Source organism: Homo sapiens, chromosome 11 (assembly GCF_000001405.40).
Source record: "Homo sapiens chromosome 11, GRCh38.p14 Primary Assembly".
NCBI classification, from domain to species: domain Eukaryota; kingdom Metazoa; phylum Chordata; class Mammalia; order Primates; family Hominidae; genus Homo; species Homo sapiens.
The window spans coordinates 103,081,288-103,103,903 of NC_000011.10; the positions used below are offsets into that span (position 1 = coordinate 103,081,288).

Below are 22,616 nucleotides of genomic sequence, written 5' to 3' on the forward strand. Positions count from 1 at the left end.
TTAATAAGCCATATTACAACATAAATTTTAGTAAAACACACTGAGTTGTATAAAACCTATATTATTTGCATATTCTTTTGTATATTTATTTAATCTTTCTCCAAAAAGCTAATTAAATGTTGAGAAATAATCCAAAGAATTTCAGAATCAATGTATTTAACTGGGCATATTATGACACCTAAATGTATGGCAGAATTCAGTCTTGGTAGCAAATGCTATAATTTAAAAATAATGGTCCTCTATTTTATAAGGAATGTTGATTTATATAGAAAGTAGGAATACAGTATTAGAGATTGGTAATCAGGAAATTTGAATTCTAGGTTCTAACTAAGCACTACTACTAAGGAACTGTGCCAAATATTTTCGTAACCTCTCTAGGTCTCAGACTATTAAAAAAATGGAAGTGGGAGGGTTGATTTTATATTCCATTCAAGAAATTATGATTTGGTTCATATGAGCAAAGGCTTTTACCCAAAAATAAATATATAAAATATCCACGTGTCTACATGTTAATGTCAGTTAAAAAAGAGAATTACAAACCATTAGCACTGAAAATTCAAATTTAAAAATTTTAGTGCCTCATAAACAAATACTTTAAAAAAAAATTTAAGGCCAGGCAAAAAATAAAGAATAATTACATGTGTTAATGAAAGCATAATCACAACAGGAAACCAAACAGCTAATTAAGCCCCAGTTTTTGCCTCAAAAATATTATAAATTAATGCTTTCTCTATTTTAGAATGTTGATAACTAATACCCTGCAGAAACACTAGAAACATGATACTATACAATTAACACAAAATCACTAATTGATTCTGAAATTAAGCACACTTCATTCAGGAAAGCCAAAATCAAATTATTTTTATAAGATGCAATTCTATAACTTATGAAAATGTTCAAAGACAGGATCCTAAACTGAAAGTGTAGGACTATAAAATGGGTAAAGATTGCACGGGAGCAGTTACAACATTTCTACTTTTGTCCTTTATGAAATTCACTTGGCAATAAAGAAATCATAAAAGGGTTATGTAACTCTATCTTCAAATTTTTAAAGTCAAATATTAAAGTGAAGAAGGGAGAGGAGGCCCTAGAGCTTAGGGCTGCCCAACGAACATACTCCTTCGATAGTAGAATTCTGTATTGAGAGAGGAAAATCCTTATACTCAAACAACCTGTAAATAAATAGGTCTTTGATCATAGACTTTTAAGTCACTCACCAAGAGAATCAAGGAATTTTAATAGGACTGTACTAAGGTTCTTTCTTAGAGAATATAAAACATGGGGTACCTATATATTTGCCCAAGACCACAATATAATTTTTTCAATCCCCAAACTAATTGTTATAGATCAAACAGATTTGATTTAAGGTGAAACCTTACTCCTGAAAATTATGAAGCACAAAATATCAATTAAGATCTTCAAATAGGCCATCAAATTTGTTTTTTAAAAAAATTTCTTACTGTAATGAAGTCATTCCCTTTAACCATTCTTCCTTGGTAAAAAATCCCATGCTTTCAGCCTCCAATTTCCACGCTAAAACTAACATAATAATCTGGAAAGAACAGAACATAAAGGATAGGGGAAAAGTCAGCATAGAGATAATCATGTCTATATTTATCATGGAGAGCATTTTTACACAACTACTTCCATCCTTCAACTATTAAAGAGTACAACCTCTGGAATTATTAACTATATACAAAGAAATTGAGATGTGCCAATTTCTTAAAAGTAAAAAGTTCTAACAGTTTCTGAAGGTAGAATCTCTTATTCTATTACATATAACATTTGTATCAAGAAAGAATACATTTGCCCAACTTAAACTGATTAAAAATACCTTAAATGCAAATTTACAATATTAAACATGAAGAAATAAAATCTTCATACAAGATTAAAGTGTCTCGATTTTTAGTAATTTACGAATATGCTATACCCCACTTATATGCCATTCTACTTAGAAATAAAACATACATTTTCAGGTTCAACACCAATGTCTTCACAAAATTTTTCCATTCCTTCTGGCCCTACAACTTCATCAGGACCTTCAAAGACAAAAATAATTAACATATTTTGTTATAATATCAACATAAAACATAAATCGTCATGCTAAAGGTACCCATGAACACACCATAATATTTTGCAAATAATTAAATTTGAATTTTGGCATAGCTTTGATAAGTATAAATATTTGCTACAGGATTTAAAATTTAAAATTTGTGAAGTATTCTTTGAACACCAGATTACAATATGAAATTAAGAAAATTTAAAAAGCAGCAAAGAAATACTCCATTAGTATCAATCACAAGTTAGTACAAAAACTCAAACCAATCCATTAAAAAAAAAATTCACTGAGAGCCTACTCTGAATAAAATTTTTGACAATGCATGAATATGAAAAAACATAAGGCAGCTGGAGCTTCTTAATCTACTGGAATATCAGAACCAACACAAAGTTCAATACAGTAATCAGAAGGGGAATATATTTACCTATAAAACAGGCCATTTATTACCCTTTTGAAATACACTCAAATATAATTTAATTATTGAAAAAGACAAAGGTATTTTGAAAATAATGACTTATGGAAATTACTACATTCCATTTCCAGAAAGAGCTATTTTCCTTATCATCTTGGTTCTAAAACAGACAGCAAGCATTGATGTCACCTTAATGTAGAAACAGAAGTTTAATCTTTCAATTAGTTAGTGTCTATCATTCATCCAAAAATTAATTACTGGCATTTAACTTGTTCCTTATTTTACACCCTTAGCAACATTAATAAATCAATACATCAATTATCATTTTTTCAAAATGTTATCAGATTCCCAAAATATAGTAATTACATCATCACTAGGTCTCTTTTGTGACTGGATAAGAATAAAACAAATTTTGTAATAATATGAGAAATGTGTTTACCACTATGGGATTTTGAAAATATAATCTTGAGATATTATTCTTAAGAGTCAAGAGAAGCCTCTATTTTCCTTTTTCAAGGATGAAAATCCTCCAGCTTTATAAACCATAGACTAGACCAAGGCTGCTCAGGTAAATTTGACAGCACCATATTTAGGTTACTAGCACAACATAAAGTCAATACATTCTTGCTGCCTGAGATCCAAGCTGCTAAGATGACATTAATACTGGTCTGAAGCCAAAACCCTTTTTAATTTTTTTGTGTAACATGTTAAGTGTTATTAGGTTTAAATAAGTACTAACAATGCACTCGTGTTAAAAGGTGAAGGGGGTGATTAATTATAGGGCACTTTCTCTTCCTTTACATATTTGGAGAATTGTTTAAATGAGAATGTGTTAATTTTATAACTTAAAAGGCATACATATACAATAAAGGTGTTAAAATGCATAAATGAGTATGTATTCTTATATATGATTGAAAGAAAACAAAAATCAGATTTGAAAATTTAAGAGGCCCAGGCGCGGTGGCTCATGCCTGTAATCTTGGCACTTTGGGAGGCCGAGGTGGGATTATCACTTGAGCCCAAGAGTTCCAGACAAACCTGCACAACACAGGGAGACCCCATCTCTAGGGAAAAAAAAAATAGCCTTGTGTGGTGGTGCCAGTCTGTGGTCCCAGCTACTCAGGAGACTGAGGTGGGAGCATTGCTTGAGCCCAGGAGTTTGAGGCTGCAATGAGCCATGATCACGCCATTGTACTCCAGCCTGGGAGAGAGCAAGGCCCTGTCTCAAAAAAAAATAAAAAATAAAAAATTAAGGGAAAAGACAAACGGTTTTTTTAAAAGCCACGATGTAAATATATTGTAAATTTTTCTAAAGCATCAAGAAAACATACTTGCTCTCAAAGTTGCCATTAGTGATTCAAAGAGAAAGCTTTAGAGGATGTCTAGAAACATCAGCATAAGCTAGGAGCAGTGGCTCACGCCTGTAATCTCAGCACTTTGGGAGGCCGAGGCAGATGGATTACGAGGTCAGGATTTCAAGACCAGCCTGGCCAAGATGGTGAAACCCTGTCTCTACTAAAACTACAAAAATTAGCCAGACGTGGTGGCAGGTGCCTGTAATCCCAGCTACGCAGGAGGCTGAGGCAGGAGAATCACTTAACCTAGGTGGCAGAGGTTGCAGTGAGCCGAGATTGCGCCACTGCACTCCAGCGTAGGTGACAGAGCGAGACTCTGTCTCAAAAAATATAAAAAATAAAAAAGAAATATCAGTATAGCCCCCCTAGAAACTGGAGGATTACTTGGTGATTACTAATTAAAATTTGGTTAGAAGCAAGTCAAATGAGATTACATAGAGATATAATACCTTATAACTTAGATAAGGTCTGTAAATGTTAACTGACTTTGCCAAAGTGATGTAAATAGTAACAGATCTAAGTCTAAAGCGAGGTCTGTAACTAATGTGCTTTCCCCGGACTGCAAAATGTTAATCCTTCCAATACCATTGCTTCCAATCTTTCTAATAAAACTACTCTCTGGGTAAAACCTCTGGAGCTAAATTTAATTAACTCTTTTGGACAACTAGGTTTCCACTCAATTGAAGAAGCTATAGAAATGATTTTGTTCATACTATGAGTTCACTCTACTCCACCAGCTAGGTACTATATTAGGACTATGCAATTCCAACCTTATTTTTTGACTCTATGAGACTTTAAAACTGCCCTTTCACTTTCCATGTTTTCAATTACCATAGGCCAGTATATTACTGAATCATTAATTTAAATATCACTCAAGAATGAGGTCTTGTGAAAGAACAAAACCAACAGCCTTATCACACATAATACCATAGTAACAAGTTTAGTGATATTTTCAAAACTAAAAGAAAAACACCATCAATTTCCTGATTTCTTTATAACCATAAAGGAATGTTCCTAGCTATATCTGCAAGGCCTAATACCATGCCAGCCATAACAGATGCTTAGGGGGAAAAAAAAAAAATTCTCAGTGACACAGCACCTTCAACATGAGCTACGTAAGAGTCATTAATTTTGGAACACTGTAAAAAACACACAACCAGTAAATCTGATGCTGTAATGCTATTACTGTTTTAATAATAATAACATTTGAGTTCTGACTATATACCAGGTATTGTGCTAAGGGCTTTACATGTATTATTCTCAGTAGGCAAAATTATTGGCTTCATTTTAATACGGACATACCCATTTCAAGACAGAACAGTTACTGTTTATTTGGCAAACAAATGGTTCCTCCCTAATCAGGTCTCTGCACAAAGTGGTCTCCACAGAGAGGCCTTCCCTAATCACTCTATCTGAAAGTCCATCTAACCCTTCTTTCTTCTCTATTCCTGAACCTCACCATATTTATTATCCTTATAACTCCCCACAATCTGTACTTATCTTGCCTACATACCTGTTTACTGACTGTCTTCCTCACCAGAAGGCAAGTCCCCCAAAGGCAGGGATCTTGTCTGACTTGCTCAGCACTATATATCCAGCACTCAGCACAGTGCCTGACTCAAAACAAGTGCTCAATATTTATTGAATGGATGACAGAAATTAACCAAGAGTACCAATATTTTCTTTGCAAAAGTGAAAATTAGCTTAAATAAAAAATAAACATAAAATAATATCTATTATAATAAAATGTTTATAACTATATATAAACATTATAAAATTTAAATAAAAAATACATAAAAGCATAGTAGTTAAAAGCATGGACTTTAGAATCAGAAGGACCTGGGTTTGAATCCTGGCTCTTGTCACTATATGATCTTGGGCAAATTAATTAATCTAAGTCTCAGTTTTCTCATCTATAAAATGAGGGTATGGCCAAGCACAGCAGCTCATGCCTGTAATCCCACCACTCTGGGAAGCTGAGGCAATTAGATCACTTGAGCCCAGGAGTTGGAGACCAGTTTGGGCAACATCGTGAAACCCCATTTCTTTTTTTCTTTTTCTTTTTTTTTTTTTTTGAGGCAGAGTCTCACTCTGTCACCCAGGCTGGAGTGCAGTGGTGTTATCTCGGCTCACTGTGAGCTCCGCCTCCTGGGTTCACGCCATTCTCCTGCCCCAGCCTCCCAAGTAGCTGGGACTACAGGCGCACACCACCACGCCCGGCTAATTGTTTGTGTTTTTGGTAGAGAGAGTGTTTCACCATGTTAACCAGGATGGTCTCGATCTCCTGACCTCGTGATCTGCCTACCTTGGCCTCCCAAAGTGCTGAGATTACAGACGTGAGCCACCACACCCGGCTGAAACCCCATTTCTACAAAAAATTTAAAAAATTAGCCAGGCGTGGTGGCACATGCCTATATTCCCACCTACTAGAAAGGCTGAGGTGGGAGGATGGCCTGAGCCCAGGAGCTCAAGGCTGCAGTGAGCCATGATCACAGCACTGCGCTCCAGCGTGGGCGACACAGTGAGACCCTGTCTCAAAAAATAAAGTCGTAGTGGGAGGTGGTGATAATACTACCTACTTAATAGAACAGTCACAAGAAAAAATAATATACCTGGGACAATTCCTGGAATAATGCAATTATTATGTTGGCTATTAAAAATGCTAATATAGTAAACAAATGTTTAATTAGAATCTTACACTACCTAGGAAAGTTCCTAGTTGAGGCAAATATTTTCTATTTCTATTGTATCTAGTAACCTTTATAAGTGAAATAAGATGGGTGACCTTTTGATTATATATCATTCATACCAGTAAAACTGGCATTTGGGATAATGGGTCAACATTTTAAATGGAGGTCAGTAAGAAATGAATTCCCTTCATTTAAATTGGGTTAGTGGTTGTCTTGGGATGCCAGTAATAGCATTTATTTCTGGTCTAGAAAGAATCTGTTCTGTTACTAAACAATTTTAAAATTGTACTTTGGGATCACTCAGCTGATTCCAACAGTAAAGTTACTGCCCCCCTTTCAAAATAGTCTCACATTCCATACAATTAGCCTAAACTTATACCTCAAGTTCAAAGTATACTACTTTAGACCTTAATGTGGATGAGCACTAAATATAAGGCAATAGCTACATATACACTTCCATTTTAAACAAACATTTTGAGAATGATAGTGATTAAAAGAAGGAGAAAAAAAAGTGAAGCAGGTTAAAAAAAAGGAAAAGGAAAAGAAAAAAGCTTTAAAATCAATAACTCCAAAAAAACAAAACTATTCTAAGGGGAAAAAAATTCCATATATATTTATGAGATAGTATAAGTGTTCTTTTGCATATATTTGCTTAACTCTTCAGCCCCATCTCTGGCTGGCTTTGACTTTCGCCTCTAAAACACAACCCCATCCTGGGCCTAGGGCTCTTCATCCACCAGTTACAAGATTTAGCTGAGGTTAAGTTAGCTCCTCTAGAAAACTCCCATGACACTTTAAAAGCTGGGTTATATATCCCTCCTATGAACTCTCACAGTGTATCTTCTGAATATAGTATTTATCACACTGTATTAATATCAGTCTATTTATTTTCTTACTATTGCATCTCTAGTAGAAGTGGATGGCTAAATGATAATTGTTAAAAAGTAAATGTGTTGTACAATTATAACTGAGGGGTTTAAATCTTTTACTATGTCTCCCCAAAAGTTTCAGAAAATGTTAGTTCAGAAAAATTTCAAAAAGAGAATATTGAATAGAAATGTTTTATTATGTACTTTGTGTTTTCCACAATATCAAATACAAAAATGTTTTATTGTGTACCTTTTATTTTCCAGAATACTACTTTAGCCAATAGATGTAAATAAATGAATCTTTGTTTACACGTTTTATTAATAGTAAATGAGTTCTTCCCTCCCAGTAAATATATACCGAATATATATTTAAAGAAATATCAGCCTAAATTGGCAACAAATTTTTAGTCTACCCACAATCTTCAGTCCTGACCCTCATCCCAGTACACAGCACTAACACATAGCAGGCCTGTAACAGATAATTTGTTAAATGAATAAGGCAAATAAACTTTTTAAAGCATATGACTAGTATCTTCTTATATTAATTTCATTACCTGCATATTCATAAAACCAAGCCAGGCACTTCTTGCTTGAAAAATGTTCCTCTCCACTTATTAGTCTAGCAGGGGGTTGGGATCTGCAATAGCTTAGAAAACACACAGACGCCTAAGATTTTTATCACATCTCAACTCTTAGAGAAAAACTAAGTTCAAAATTAACAACTTCCATTCACATTAAACAAAGGTTTTTTTTTTCTTCGGTTGGCATTGTTGGAAAAAAACTGAAGTTGTTAAGTAATTGCAACTTGAAACAGTAGTCTATACATAAGAATTATCGGCTAACAAAACCCAAATACCTTTTCACTCAGTATCAAAATCCAAAAATATCAGTAAGTTATTTCCGCACATTTTAAAAGACTACAAAGAAGTTCAACCTAGTAGGTGGGAAAGTATAAATATTTATTATGATTCTATTGATTTGCATAGAAATTCTATTTGTGTGTAATAGATAAATATTTGAAAACAAACTCTTACAAAGTATATTTTGATACTTAATGAATCAATATTTCAAAATAAAATGTTATATTAAGAGTTGTTTTATCACCTAAGCTTAAATAGATTTTTAAAGATAAATGATGACTTAGGACCTAAGGGTATATTAAATTACACAGATTTAAAAAAAACAACAAAAAAACACTAAAAGTTAATAATAGTCCAAATAATTGGGACAAGGCTATTTAATCCTAGGTTCTGTTCATTCTATTTCATTTTTTTCATAAAATCATTTTCATTGTTTTTCATAAAATAACTAAAATTTGGTAAGTTCAAAATGGCCTCTAGAATTTAATGGCCTTCAGAGAAACTTTTTTCAAGGAACTCAAATAATTACCCTACCACAATGATATAGAAATGATAGAACTTCTGTAACTGAGTAAAGTAAGAGTATCATATTTAAAAATTTAAATTGATAGAGCAAAGTATCACCTGAGTTCTAATAATACTGCCTGCTCAGCTATCTTAATGTACTTAACTTAAATAATTTTAATACATTATATACTTAAGATGGCCATGATATAGTACAAAAATGAATAATAATTTGCCTGTATCTTATAAAAATGTGAGCTACTAAAGTAACCATGTCAAATTCTAATGTTGACAAACAAGAGGTGTATGTATCATCGTTCACATTAATAGCCTAATACTCCATAGACTCCTTTACCAAAACACAGTAATGAGGGAAAAAAGTCGACCAATTACAAAAAAGAAGATGCAGACTATGTAAGTCATCTACCTCACAGTTTAAGCAGATCTCTCTTTAAGGAGAGCTCTATCATTATTTCCTTCTTATAATCCTGGCTACAGTCTCCTTTCAATAGTAGCATCTGAAGTTGTCATATCAAGTGCCAACCATTGATGAAAAGGCAGCTAATATGGTTATTTTTTAAAAAAGCATTTCTCAGTCGGGCGAGGTGGCTCACTCCTGTAATCCCAGCACTTTGGGAGGCCGAGGCGGGCGGATCGCGAGGTCAGGAGTTCAAGACCAGCCTAGTCAACATAGTGAAACCCCGTCTCTACTAAAAATACAAAAAATTAGCAGGGCGTGGTGGCGGGCGCCTATAATCCCAGCTACTCAGGAGGCTGAGGCAGGAGAATCGCTTGAACCCGGGAGGCGGAGGTTGCAGTAAGCGGAGATCGCGCCACTGCACTCCAGCCTGGACAACAGTGGAAGACTCCGTCTCAGAAAAACAAAACAAAACAAAAAAACAAAAAAACCATTTCTCAAACCAAAATTGCAGTTTTTTTGTAGCATAAATTTTGCTGTGATGCCTCCATGATATGCTACAAGGGGATCAAAGAGCTACTACTATATAGTTCTGCCTTGTCTTCTTTCTTACCAGTAGGACAGAGTACAAGAGCTCACAAATTATTTAATTTATGCTGAGAGCTAACAGCGTCCTGAATGCTAGAAGACAAAAAGCATGCAGGGCCTTTCCAACTCTGCACACAGGGACTTGGCATAGGTGAGGCACTATACTTCCAGAAAATGGGGCTCCTGCAATTTAAAAGGCCTCCTGCTGGGACCTTCCGGGTTAGGCCACTCCAAATACTAAATATGGAGGCCAATTATAGCATACAAGTTTTCCTTTCTACCATTCCCAAGACAGTTGTCAAGATTCCTTATGTTCTGCTTTCTTCACACTCTACAAAGAAATTCTAGAAGTGACCCTTCTGCGGATATGTACTCACTTCTAAGTCTAGAAAAAGGCAGAGGAGCGATACGGGAGTAGGGGATCGAGGGTCGGTTGTGGGGTGGGGGTGGGGGTGGGGGGAAGCGCAATTTACATATGCATCTGTTCCCCACCCTGCAGGGCACGTAGACTCTTAACGTGGGCGGCTCTTCTAGTCTCTCCATAAACGCCAGCGTGCACACACTCGAACACGAGGTCGGGTCGGGCGCGGAGACTCGCGGTGTTCGGCACCTACAGCCTAGCTCGATCAAAGGGGCCTCACCTGTCTCCAGCCCCAGCCCGGCAGGCCGGGCCCGACTCCTTTTCCTCCAGTTGTCCAGCAAAGGAGGGAGGAGGGAAGCTTGAAGGGTGGGGGGAGATGGTACCTGGAGATTTTACACTTTTTGAGGCCTCCGTCTTCCGCTACTGCTGCTGCCACCCCAGGGGATTTTCTCTTCTTCTTCACCGGCATCTTCCGCCCTCCCCGGCAGGGTGGGCAGGGGAGCCGGGGAAGGGGGTCCCTGTCCGCTGGAAGCCCCTCAGCGCTGGCACCCAGTTCCCAGAGACAGCAGCAAGCGGAGGAGCAGAGTCGCCAGCCCGCACCGGCGCGGCCCAGCCCGGCCGCCGCCCGCTCCCAGGTATCCTCGTCGTCTTTCTCTGACCGGGACAGGGCTGGCTCCTCGCCGGTGGACACTGCGGTTCGTTCTCACCGGGAGGAGATAACGCGGACAGCGCGGCAGCTCCACCAGTCACAGCAAGCAAGAGGCTCAGCCTAACCCGGAGGCGAATCGCTGAGGCCCGGAAGTGACGCAATCGCGGAGCCGGTCCCGGGAAGGGGCGTGGTTCCGGTTAGCCTCTGCCACTCGTAGGTAGGCCAGGCAGAGCGAAGCTGTCTGACCCGTCGACTGCGGCAGTCCGCGGAATTCTTGTATCCTGTCCAGGGTATCCTGACCTTTCTCATGAAGCTTCTACCGCGCTCTGATGCTGGCAGTCACCGCCAAAAAGTGAAACTACTAATACTTTGCAGTTGACGTTAAAAACAACCTGGTAAAGTAGACCAAGTTCCACTTCTGAGCTCTTCCACACGATAACCTCACCTGAAGTGTTCCCACCCCGTAAATGCATTGTCACCCTGTGTCTTGCGTGTTTTTTTTATGGGCCTGTGATCAGCCACCCACTCCCCCTTCTCCCTACCTTTGCATATCACTTTGTCCTGTATTGAAACTTAGCTCTGCCATTATTTCCACAGAGCTCACCTCTCCGATAAGAGACAGTAGGTGACTGCGACTCAGTAGAGAGAAATTTGGGGGACAGTTCTAAGGAACCTCCCCCTAGACCCAAAACACACTGTAATCTATTCATCTCCACTTAGGTGGAAATACTGTTTTTAAATAATGGTTATTGTATGTAAAGACATAGTAGAAAGTCGTTAGTAATTCTGTTGGTAAAATAATCTCTGCAAACCAACTGTGATGGGAGAAGACTAAAAGTCTTTGAGTAATAGTTGAAGTGGTTCCTGTGAAACTACCCTCACAATGGCACCCTAATCTGGTCAATCCGAATATCATATTTCCTTAGTGTTATTAATTGGTTCAGGATGGACACATACTCAGGCCAGGCCAATGAGTGCCAATGACACAAAATTGAACCACCAGAAAGCAATTTTATTTCCTATGGATTTGAACCAGAGAAGGTATGGAGAATGAAGCCAAAACTCAGAAGAGACTAGTATCAAGCAGAAAAATAGAAAAACCAGGATGTGATTATATGATATGAGCCCAAAATCCATGATATGCCCTGGAATTTTCACTTATGTGAAGCAACAAATTTCACTATTTTGCATATTTAGTTCAATTCTCTGTTACTTAAAACCAAAAGAATGTCAAAGTATATGATCCTTCAACCCATTTAAAAATGCCTGAGGCCAAAATCAAAACAGAATCAGATAAAGTCTCTAAATAGAACTACCATCTACAAAAAGTACAGGACAGAGGAACATGTTAAATACCCAATGCAATCAGCAATATCTAGACGTCAGAAAAGTCTACAGGACAATGACCCAAATTCTGCAACAAATTATTAGGACGAGAGGAGAGAGAAGGAAATTAAAAGACTTAAAGGATATGTCAATCATTTTCAGTATGCAGTTCTTATTTGAATTTGACTCACACAAACAGTTTAAACAATATGATAACATCTCTGTGGCAATTGGAGATGTTAATGCTGGCTGGATATTTGATGAAATTCTAGAACATGTAAAACTTACTTATAGCAATGGCATATCAGTGACACTTGGGGACAGGGATGGAGTAAGCCGGGGAAGACTGACTGCAAAGAAACACAAGGGAACTTTTTGGGTAATGAACATATTCTATGTCTTGATTGAAGTAATAGTATATATACTTGTCAAAATTCATTGAATTGTACACTTAAAAATTGATATTTTTATGCATATTCTTCCTAAATAAAATTTATATAAAATGTGCAAAACAAAACACAAAATAAATGATAATGACAAAACTATTAGAGATAGCCAAACTTATTTCTTCAACTGGTGAGCTGCAAAAGCTAAACAGCCCCTTTTCCCAAGGAGGACCAAAGAAATGGAATAAAACCTAAAGGATAGAAAGAAAGATCTCAGAGGATGATGTTAAAGGGGTGTCCTTCCACAGAGTAGAATCAGGGCCTGATCAAAGAGTAGGGAATTTCATAATGCCTGTCTTGCAGGCTACCAGCATTGCTATAGACCAAAGACCACTGCACATCTCATCTTCTGTTCTTTTTTAAATAGGAATTTTTTTATTGTGATAATTGTGTCCCTTCTTCACCATTATTTATTGGGCGAGAGTGGGAAGTAGATTATTGCTTCTTAGTTCATAGGCCATTGGACCATAAGGAATCACTTTCGAACTAAGGAAGACCCCACTATACCTGGAAATCCTGGACATTGAGCTGAATGCAGTAACTGGATAGGAGCTTACTCACACCCATAGAATACTCTGAGAAAAAGACAAAAGGCTGGATCTATGTGTGGTATTCATTTAGTCTATCTATTCAAAAAATATTTAATCATCACTTCAACCAGGAGCTTTACTGGGCTTAAGAATATAAAAGGCAGACATGACTCCTGCAATCATGGAGCTGCCAGTCTGGAGGGAGAAATACAGTCATGCACCACGTAATGACATTTTGGTCAAGATGTGCATATGCGATGATAGTCCCTTAAGATTATAATACTGTATTTTTACTGTGCCTTTTCTATGTTGAGGTATGTTGAGATACACAAATACAATTGTGTTAAAATTGCCTACAGTATTCAGTACAGTACCATGCTGTACAGGTTTGTAGCCTAGGATCTATAGGCTGTACCGTATAGCCTAGATGTGTAGTAAGCTATATCATCCAGGTTTGTATAAGTACACTCTGTGATGTTCACACAATGATGAAACTGCCTAATGACACATTTCTCAGAATGTATTCCTGTCAATAAGCAATATATGACTCTATGTATGCTATCTGCATTTAAGAGAATTATATGAATAGGAATTAGGGTTCATAATCTATGCTTGTCAATGATATTAAAGGGATGGCAATTTCTGGGTCATGTAGACCATTCTCATCCATCTACCTCTTCATTCTCTTGTCTGGTCAGTACCTACTGCTACTGCCAAAACTCCATTCCCAAAAGTTGGCTCTTCATCATCCCAATTACTCTCACAAAGGGGCATATTGATAGCCTTGCTACCTATGAGAAGTATAGAAATGCCTAGTTATGTGGCTTTAATATTTTCCGCTGCTCACCAATGCATACATAGTACATGATTTTGCATCAAAAAGATGCCTCTAATACAGAAACAAACTATGACAGAGTACTGTGGCTCTCTGGCGTGCAGTAGAATTTTTTAAATGAAGGTAATGACAAGGAAGGGAGGGATGAAGTAGTTACCTCAAGCAGAAGCCTGTGTGTTCTGGTTTCAGATCCAAAGAAGACACTCAAGTGACTTTAGGAAAGGCAGATAATTTCCTTTATCTTTCATCTTATCCTACTATTATACAGAAGGATGTAGGAAAAAAACAACAATAATAATACTTATGCTGAATAGGGAAGTAATTAAGCAAGAAGACTGAGACCCAGTTCTATTATCTATTTGGCATCTTGGTCACATATACATCCCTTAGCTTTTGGGAGTTATAAAACAAAGCCATGAAAAACATCTTTTAAAATAGTTATATCTCTGTCAAGGTATCCAAAAATAGTACTCTAAGATGTGTTAATTTATATATTCCGTACATAGTTTAGTTTTTCTTAACACCTCTTTAAAATAGGACTTTCCTACTTGGGAGAATAACAAGCAACACAGACATTAAGTGATTTATGGGATGCCGCGTTATTGTGGTCCTGGATCTGTGCAGATGCTCTCCCTTCCATATATTAATGTTGATTTTTAAAACAGCATTGTAGTTAAAAATTTTCTGAAATGTTTTCATGCACATAAATCTACAGAAAGATAACTCTAAGAGAATAGTAGAAATGGGATGTCAAGACAGGATTTTTTGTTTTGGCATTTCAGTATAGCCTACAAGAACTCCTTGTGTTTTAGAGAGGCCCAGAGGTGCAGAACTGTGTAACACATGACACTTACCCCCTACACCCTAAAGCGGTGTGCCAGACCACATCAATTTTAGCTTGGCTGTGACTGTGGTTCACTCTGGGATCTAGACTGAGGGAACAGTCACTACCTAGAACACTGCTTGTCATCATGACAGAGAGAAAGAACAACATGGTAAATCCCATGCTGCCTCTTGAGGATTCTGCCCCGAAGTGACACATTAATCCTGTTCAAGTCATATGGCTACACCTGAGGTCACGAGGGCAGGAATGTATGATCCCCCTGCAGAGAGAAACATCAAGTAAAGGTAAATACAGCCTACTACAGTAAGAGACTGGACTGAAATTTTGTTCAAAGCATAGGGAAAAATGAGTTCACAGTGCAGTTTTAAAGAGGCAGTAGGAAAAAGCATAAGATTGGTTTCAGCTTATACCTCACCGTGGCAGTTTATATTCTTCAAAGGTGGTCACAGCAATATCTCTCATCCCACATATTCTAGAAACTTACCATTTCCTATCAAAAAGTGAAGTCTAGTTGAAAAAAAAAATCAATATTGGTTCATTCATTGTGGGAAATGTACCATACCAATGTAAGACATTAGTAATAGGGGAAACTGGGTGTGGGATATATGAGCAGTTTCTGTAGTATCATTGCAATTTTTCCACAAAATTAAAACTCTTCTAAAATAAATTATTAAAAAGTCACAGTGAATGGGAAAAAATAAAATTTAGAAAATAGTAAAGTACAGGAAGAAAGAGTAATGATTCAAAGGAGCTGCCTAGGTTGGATGCTTTTGGAAAGGTAAGAATCGAAAAAATTCTGGATGTGGGATCATAGGTAGAAAGCAATGTCTTGTATATCAGCTGGCCAAGGACAGAGCAATTTCAACTTGAAACCTAACCAGGAAGACTAAGAACAAGTGCTCAGGTGGGAAATTGTATTAAGCAGTACACCTGATTTGCTTTCCCATATGTGAATATGTACCCCAAATGAAGAAAAGTAGTTCAGGCCAGGTGCCGTGGCTCATGCCTGTAATCCCAGGACTTTGGGAGGCCGAGGTGAGTGGATCACTTGAGGCAAGGAGTTCGAGACCAGTCTGGCCAACATGGACAAAACTCTGTTCCTACTAAAGATACAAAAATTAGCCGGGCGTGGTGGCGCATGCCTGTAATCTCAGCTCTGCGGAGGCTGAGGCAGGAGAATCTCTTGAACCTGGGAGGTGGAGGTTGCAGTGAGCCAAGATCATGGCACTGCACTCCAGCCTAGGTGACAAAGCAAGACTCTGTCTTAAAAAAAAGTAGTTCACAGAACCAAAATTACTGGCAGAGGTTGTATTGTTTTGATGACTTGCTGAAGAGAACTCTCTTTTTGTTTGGATGAGATGGTAGAGAAGACCAAAATTGAATGGAGACAGCTTGCACTGGGTATGTTCTTAAGTGTAGTTTCCTAATTTTGGTATTTGCTGAATAGGCATTTATCACACTATACACTTCCAAGACTTAACATTGGAAAGTGGCATAGTGTAAAGGGTTTGTTAAAATAAGAACCACCATTAGACTGATGAATTTCCTTTTTAACTTTGCAAACTTGATAAAACATTTAACCATGTTGTGACTCAGTTTTGTTCTTTGTAAGATAAAATAATAATACTTGCCTTGTCTGACATCACAGCATTGTGGTGTTGAAAAAAATGAGAAAATAAATGTTAAATAAATGTTTTGATAACAATGTTATCAAAATTGCTAAAGGGTACAAAACCACGTATCAGTTGAGGTCTTTAGAGTACATTAAACAAAAATCAAATTCTATATTTAGCAAGAGGATATATTTTGAAGCATTTTACAGAATCAAAGGAAGGCGTTGCAATGAAGGAGATACGTAAAAGGAGTGAGTTGTCTTGGTTTTTATCCTCACCCAAATTCTGATAATGGAGCTTTCTTATCTATATCACTACCACCTTTTTGATGACTTCATCTTTAGTTGCAGGGATATTAACAATAACCATGTTTTCAGCCATTGAAAATAGGGTCATCTACACTGGGCAGTTTGAATGGGATTCAGCAAATTCTTGGGCCATGGCTATGCATGACTTCTTTGGAAAATCCATAGGTAACATGTGAGCAGTTATGGAAAGCCACTGGTGAGGACCACTCAGCACAGAGAAGATCAGTTCACATGATTGCAGCAGAGGCAGTTATTCTTAGAAAGGCAGTTAATGGTCTGCAAAGAGTCGGACATTTATTTGGCACCCACCTTGCTCTCGTCTCTGACAGTGATAGTGTTGGTGTCTCTTGATGCTGATGCTGCTCCTCATTATGTGTTCCTCAGAGGCCTATTCCCTCATCTCTAGTTTCACAACAAAGACCTCTTCCAAGTTCAAGCCCTATCCAACTTTTGAACTCTATTTCTAGCCAAGATGACCTTCAATTGTTATGGCATAGCATCTGTGATCTTCCTCTTTCAGGGCCTGAACTTGTAATTTGCAAAAGCCTTCTTGTTTATAAAGAAAACATAGCTTATGAGAATCAACAGTTTTGGTTTAAATAGCATTTTTTAAAATATTGTGGTATTTCAAGAGTATGTTTTTAAAGTAAATAGTAAGCCAACTATATTTCTTTCCATTTCTGATTTACAGTTTATAATTTTCTTTTAGATAATGACACTGACTATAATGATCATGAGCAAGAATATAGAGAAAACAAAAATAGAACAAAATATAACAATTCTTTCAAGATATTATCTCTCTATAGGCTAAACAAGTAGAGAATTCTTAGATAACTTCACTGAACTCTTTCACATTTCATATGCAGTTAAGGCTTCCACTGCACATCCTTCTGATACAACCTATACTTAGGACCAGATGCATAATTTGTGGGACTCAGAACAAAATGAAAATGCAGAGCCTCTTGTTAAAAAAATTATGTAGTGCTCTGTGAGGACCCATCATCAAACCAACTGAGAGGCCTTTTTAAGCATGATGCCCTGTGACATTGCACAAGTTGCATGTGCATAAAATCTGCCCTGCATACACTTTAAAAACAAGTCAAGGCCCGATTGACCTATAGGTTCATTCAATGGAACACCAGATTTGTAAAGCACACTTAGTCAGAGAATGATATGTGTTGATAAAGTCATTCTTTCCTATTCCAGGGTACAATAAAGATTACATTTCCCTCACTTGAACCCGGGAGGTGGAGGTTGCAATGAGCTGAGATTGCACCATTGCACTCCAACCTGGGTGACAGAGCAAGACTCTGACAAAAAACAAACAAACAAACAAAAAAAACAAAACATTTCCTATCCACCCTTGAAGTCAGGAATTGCCATATACATCTGCTGCATGAGACTTCACTCTTTACCTGTCAATCAACCAGATTTAAATAACCCAGGAGATAATTCCATAGTCCTAGGGGATAGTGGAGCTACAAAATGGAATAGGTCTAGATTCCTGAATCATCACATGGAAGACTGCCTGCCAAGTACCACATTGAATTGTCAGAAGAAGGAGAAATAAAATTCTTACGTTAAGCCACTGAAATTTGGGGGTTGTTATAATAACGTTTGCCATACCTTGATTGTATCTGTCAGGACTAGGCTATGTTACAGTAACAAACACTAAAATATCACTATGCTTATCGTAACAAAAGTTTATTTCTTGTTCGTGGTAGGTTATTGAGAAAACCCTACCCATCCAAGCTACTCAGGGAGCTAAACTGATAAAAACACTGTCTTGATTTATGCTTCCATGATTACCATGACAGTGAGAAAGAACTATGGTAAATCATATTGGCGTTTAGTATTTTTGTGTATATGTGATATATTACTTCTACATAGATTTCAGAGATCAAAGCAAGTCATAAGATCATACCTATCTTTAAAAAGAGCGGAGAAGTGCCAAGAAAGAGGAAAGCCAGAAACATTTGTTAGATGACAGTAACAACTACCACATGAATATAGATGTTGGTGCTTAGAATGAAGATGCTGCATGCAGAAACTTAAAATATGTTGTATAGAATTAGTGGTCATGCAACAGGCAGCAAAGAAACAGATTAGTAGGTTGATTATCTAGAGATTTTTAACATGCCTTGTTAAAATATTCAGTGATACTTCCCAATGAGAAGTAGAAGAGAGACCATTAACCTAGTAAGAATCTAACTCTATGGAAAATAGCTAGAGGCAGAGTGATAGTGTGTATTGGCTACAGTTGTCTGCCTTTAGCAAGATTTACAAGAAAAATATGAGCTCTGATGAGAGCTGGTTAATCTTCCAGAAAGAATAGAAGGATACTGAGGAATCCTAGAGATCAAGGGTCTCTCAGGTTTAGAGAGGCTGACTGCTCCTAGTTTCTAAGTAATAAGAGATAAGACTGAAAAAAAGTTGTAAGTGATAAAGGCACTGAAAGATCTCTCAGTTAATAAAAGTGATAGAATCTTTGGGTAAAGCTCAGACTAAGGGTTTTAACCTTGCCGTTTAAACCTATTGTTTCATATAGCCTCAGGATACCCATCAAGTTGAGAGAGGGGGACTTGGGTATGAGTAAGCAAAAAGATCATTCTTTGGAATCATATATAGGAAATAACTAGAATATGGAATTTAGAATATGGAACTAAAAGCAAATACATTCGAAAGCCTACTAAGTTTGGAAAATAATTTTATTGTTAAATAAACCATGTGCCTGGACCAAAAAACACTGATTTTTTGAGCCTTAAAACAACTATCAAGCTCCCAGAGTTTCCCCAGAAGGAAGCTCAAATAACTTAAATTTTTAGTTTGTAGGTTGCTGAACCATCAGGAGCTATATTTCAACCCGATGGAAGCAACTGCATCACATGGATACCTTAGAGATTCCTCTCTTTTCTCTGACAAAGGACTTCCCCAAACGTGTCTTCATTGACTTCACAGCCCCATTCCTGACAAGAACACTAGACACAGCATAGGAATAATTTCCAGTAGTTTCAGTGAATGTGTTCCTTAAAGGTGTAAAATCTCAAATTTCGTATTTGATTAGATATCTTTAGGGATTAAAGGTGCCAAGCCAATGCTTGAAAAATGAGAATTGTAACCTGATCTCTTTTACTTTAAATTTATCCTGAGCTACCCTGCTGAGTAGGTTGACACTGCCTAATTTTTGATGTTCTATTCTCATAGCAACAAGCTGTGATGTCAGAGAGTTATTTTATCACAGAATCTATCCAAAAAGATGCCAGGCTGTGAAGCAGAAAGTTCTGATTTAATTGCATGTTATTCAACAATCATTTTATGTAAATAAAAATGGAGATGGAAAAAAAGACTCAACAATTTATGTGAACATCTTTATTAATAGTTGCCATGGTGTAAAAAGCTTTCCCTTCAGCATTTACATCAGTGGGTACGTATTTCTTTTTAAATGACATTAAAGGACATTCAGGCAAGACTACTTCCTGCAAATAACAGATAAGCTAGATAATGCACACAGTAAAGAAAGCAACTTCAAACCATCTAAATGTATAACTAGCATCATCATAGAGGAAAAGATTAACTAGTAATGTGATTTGAAATTGTTTATATTAAGGGCCTTAACACAGTTTTACTAGCATACTTTTTTATCCTGAATGGCAAAATTAAAAGCAATATCTTTACCAGACAAGTAATTATCACATAATCTGGTGTAAGTGCAACAAATTTCATTAAGACAGCATTACATAAAGCAGCTTTACAAACCTGCAAGCCTTTTGGGCCTGGTAGACCATGTAAATTAGTGAAATGGCCTGGGTGTAAGACAACGGGGTAGGTGGGTACCATGGCTGAAGCCAAGTGCATGCCCTATCTGCAGAAGTCTGGATGGGTTAGATTAGGCCAGAGCAACAAAGAAGCCAAAGAAGCTCAGTTGTTGAGGACAACACAATTTTCTTGCTTGTTCATACTACCTGTTAAAGGTCAGCTGGAGACTCTGTTCTTTGTCATTAGTGCAGCCACTGTCTAGAACACTACTGGTTACTGTGGCAGAGTAAAAAGAAAGAGCACAGCTTCTTTGGCTTAGTGAAGCAGTATTTGTTTTTGTTAATTTGAAAAACATTAGGCCAGGCACGGTGGCTCATGCCTATAATCTCTTCACTTTGGGAGGCCAAGGTAGGCAGATCATTTGAGGTCAGGAGTTCAAGACCAGCCTGGCCAACATGGTGAAACTGGTGTATTCTCTACTAAAAATACAAAAAACCAAAAAAATTAGCTGGGTGTGGTGGCAGGTGCCTGTAATCCCAGCTACTCAGGAGGCTGAGGCAGGAGAATCACTTGAACCCGGGAAGTGGAGGTTGTAGTGAGTCAAGATTGTGCCACTGCACTCCAGCCTGGGGGACAGAGTGAGACTCTGTCTCAAAAAGAAAAAAAAAGAAAAAGAAAAAGAGAAACATTAGAAAGTGTGGTAGTTACTAGGGTTACTCTCAAATATTCTATAACTCACCTTTTGTGTACAAGGTATGGTTTCACTTACCTGCCCACTTGCAGTAAGATGTGACCATGTGGTTTGCTTGGCCAATGAAAGGTAAATGGAAGTGATGTGCAGAAACTTTGGGAGCCAGTATCTACTTTTTCACATGTTCTCTTTTCCCTCAATACCAGTAAGATGTACGGTCAAAAAGCAATGTGACTACTTAAGAGAATTCTTACATAAGGTAACTATAACCACAGCTCAAGAACTAGAAACAATTTTTACTAAAAAGTACTTGTACAGCATCACAAAGCTATACTTTTAAGAATATATATATATATATATATATTCCTCCCAAGACTGGTATTCTTTTTATTTTAAAAGATAACAGTTTTAATAACAGTTTGAATACAGTCTTTGCTGTATTTCCTGCAATCCTTGCTATTAATACTTAAATGTATTTAAAAGTGACTTTGATATGTAATTTTTAAAACATAATGAAGCACTAACATTCAAATAAATGATATTTATTATCTGATAGAAAAGTTAAGATTTAAACTATTTAAATATACTGTCTGGATGTTCTCATAATGAAACACAGAAATATTATTTGCAAGAAGGAATGCTACCCCTTGATTTTGTTATCTTCTAATGATTGTTTCTTGTTCTCTTGTTAGAGGAGACAGGTGAAAATCATGCCCACATTATCACATTTCTGGGTATTCTCCCACTTCTTCAATGATAACATCATAGGACATCATTGGGGGAGGGGGTGACAAGAGTGCAGATATAAAAAATATCTTCAGCTACATGTTAGAAACCAATGAAGACTAACACCCTTGCTTACATATCTCCTTCCTCTTTCCCTGTATATTTTCAGTGCAATTGACTGCAGGAAGAATTGGCTCCCTGCTAGACCCAGAAGGAACAGTTAGCAATTACTGACTGATTTAGAAAGAGAGTCAGAAGAAATAGAATTCCTTTTATTCCACAAAGAGTCATAAAAATGTGTAAAGGTAAATATATTTAAGTATTTGAGGTAAATATCAGATTTCAGTGTAGAGAATCGTCTTTGTTTGTTTGGGCTGCTACAATAAAATATCTTGGACTGGGTAATTTGTAAATAATAGAAACTTATTGCTCACAGTTATGGAGGCTGGGAAATCCAAGATCAAAGCAACAGCAGATTTGGTATCTGGTGGGAGCCTGTTCCTCCTAGGTGATGCCTTCTATATGTCCTCATATAATGGAAGGGGTGAACAAGCTCTATTGGTCCTCTTTTACAGGGGCACTAATTTGATTCATGAGGGCTCCATCCTCAAGACCTAATCACCTTCCAAAGCCCTACCTTTTAATAATATCACGATAGGGATTAAGTTTCAACATATAAATTTGAAGGAATATTAAATGATCTGTATTACTCAGGGCTCTCCAGAGAAACAGAATCAACAGGGTATAAATAAATATTTAAGAGGATATTTGTTATG

At 37.1% G+C, this 22,616-nt stretch overlaps 1 protein-coding gene across 4 annotated transcripts in view, besides 5 other annotated features; it reads right to left on the reverse strand.

The window, feature by feature from the left end:
- DCUN1D5 (defective in cullin neddylation 1 domain containing 5) overlaps positions 1 to 10,873 on the reverse strand; it is a 41,475-nt gene extending 30,602 nt beyond the window's left edge. The window contains exons 1-4 of one of the 4 annotated variants that reach the window (NM_032299.4): positions 10,500 to 10,873; positions 7,940 to 8,031; positions 1,969 to 2,039; positions 1,461 to 1,552 (exon numbers count right to left, since the gene is read on the reverse strand). In NM_032299.4, the coding sequence (NP_115675.1) occupies positions 1,461 to 1,552; positions 1,969 to 2,039; positions 7,940 to 8,031; positions 10,500 to 10,585 (341 nt within the window). In that variant the 5' untranslated portion in view covers positions 10,586 to 10,873. Of the gene's footprint in view, positions 1 to 1,460; positions 1,553 to 1,968; positions 2,040 to 7,939; positions 8,032 to 10,396 lie in introns of all 4 variants that reach the window. The other 3 variants (NM_001318739.2, NM_001318740.2, NM_001318741.2) reach the window with 3 other exon arrangements.
- Positions 9,993 to 10,610: an enhancer, noted in NCBI's record as "H3K27ac hESC enhancer chr11:102962009-102962626 (GRCh37/hg19 assembly coordinates)". NCBI's record gives its function as "activates a minimal SCP1, AML or CMV promoter by ChIP-STARR-seq in primed H9 embryonic stem cells {active_cell/tissue: H9 hESC(primed)}" and the evidence as "EXISTENCE:reporter gene assay evidence [ECO:0000049][PMID:30033119]".
- Positions 10,173 to 10,467: a silencer, noted in NCBI's record as "tiled region #3; HepG2 Repressive non-DNase unmatched - State 1:Tss, and K562 Repressive DNase unmatched - State 1:Tss". NCBI's record gives its function as "represses a minimal TATA promoter and a strong SV40 promoter by Sharpr-MPRA in HepG2 and K562 cells {active_cell/tissue: HepG2 | K562}" and the evidence as "EXISTENCE:reporter gene assay evidence [ECO:0000049][PMID:27701403]".
- Positions 10,611 to 11,228: an enhancer, noted in NCBI's record as "H3K27ac hESC enhancer chr11:102962627-102963244 (GRCh37/hg19 assembly coordinates)". NCBI's record gives its function as "activates a minimal SCP1, AML or CMV promoter by ChIP-STARR-seq in primed H9 embryonic stem cells {active_cell/tissue: H9 hESC(primed)}" and the evidence as "EXISTENCE:reporter gene assay evidence [ECO:0000049][PMID:30033119]".
- Positions 11,158 to 11,207: an enhancer, noted in NCBI's record as "active region_5449". NCBI's record gives its function as "activates an Ori minimal core promoter by ATAC-STARR-seq in GM12878 lymphoblastoid cells {active_cell/tissue: GM12878}" and the evidence as "EXISTENCE:reporter gene assay evidence [ECO:0000049][PMID:35858748]".
- Positions 11,278 to 11,327: an enhancer, noted in NCBI's record as "active region_5450". NCBI's record gives its function as "activates an Ori minimal core promoter by ATAC-STARR-seq in GM12878 lymphoblastoid cells {active_cell/tissue: GM12878}" and the evidence as "EXISTENCE:reporter gene assay evidence [ECO:0000049][PMID:35858748]".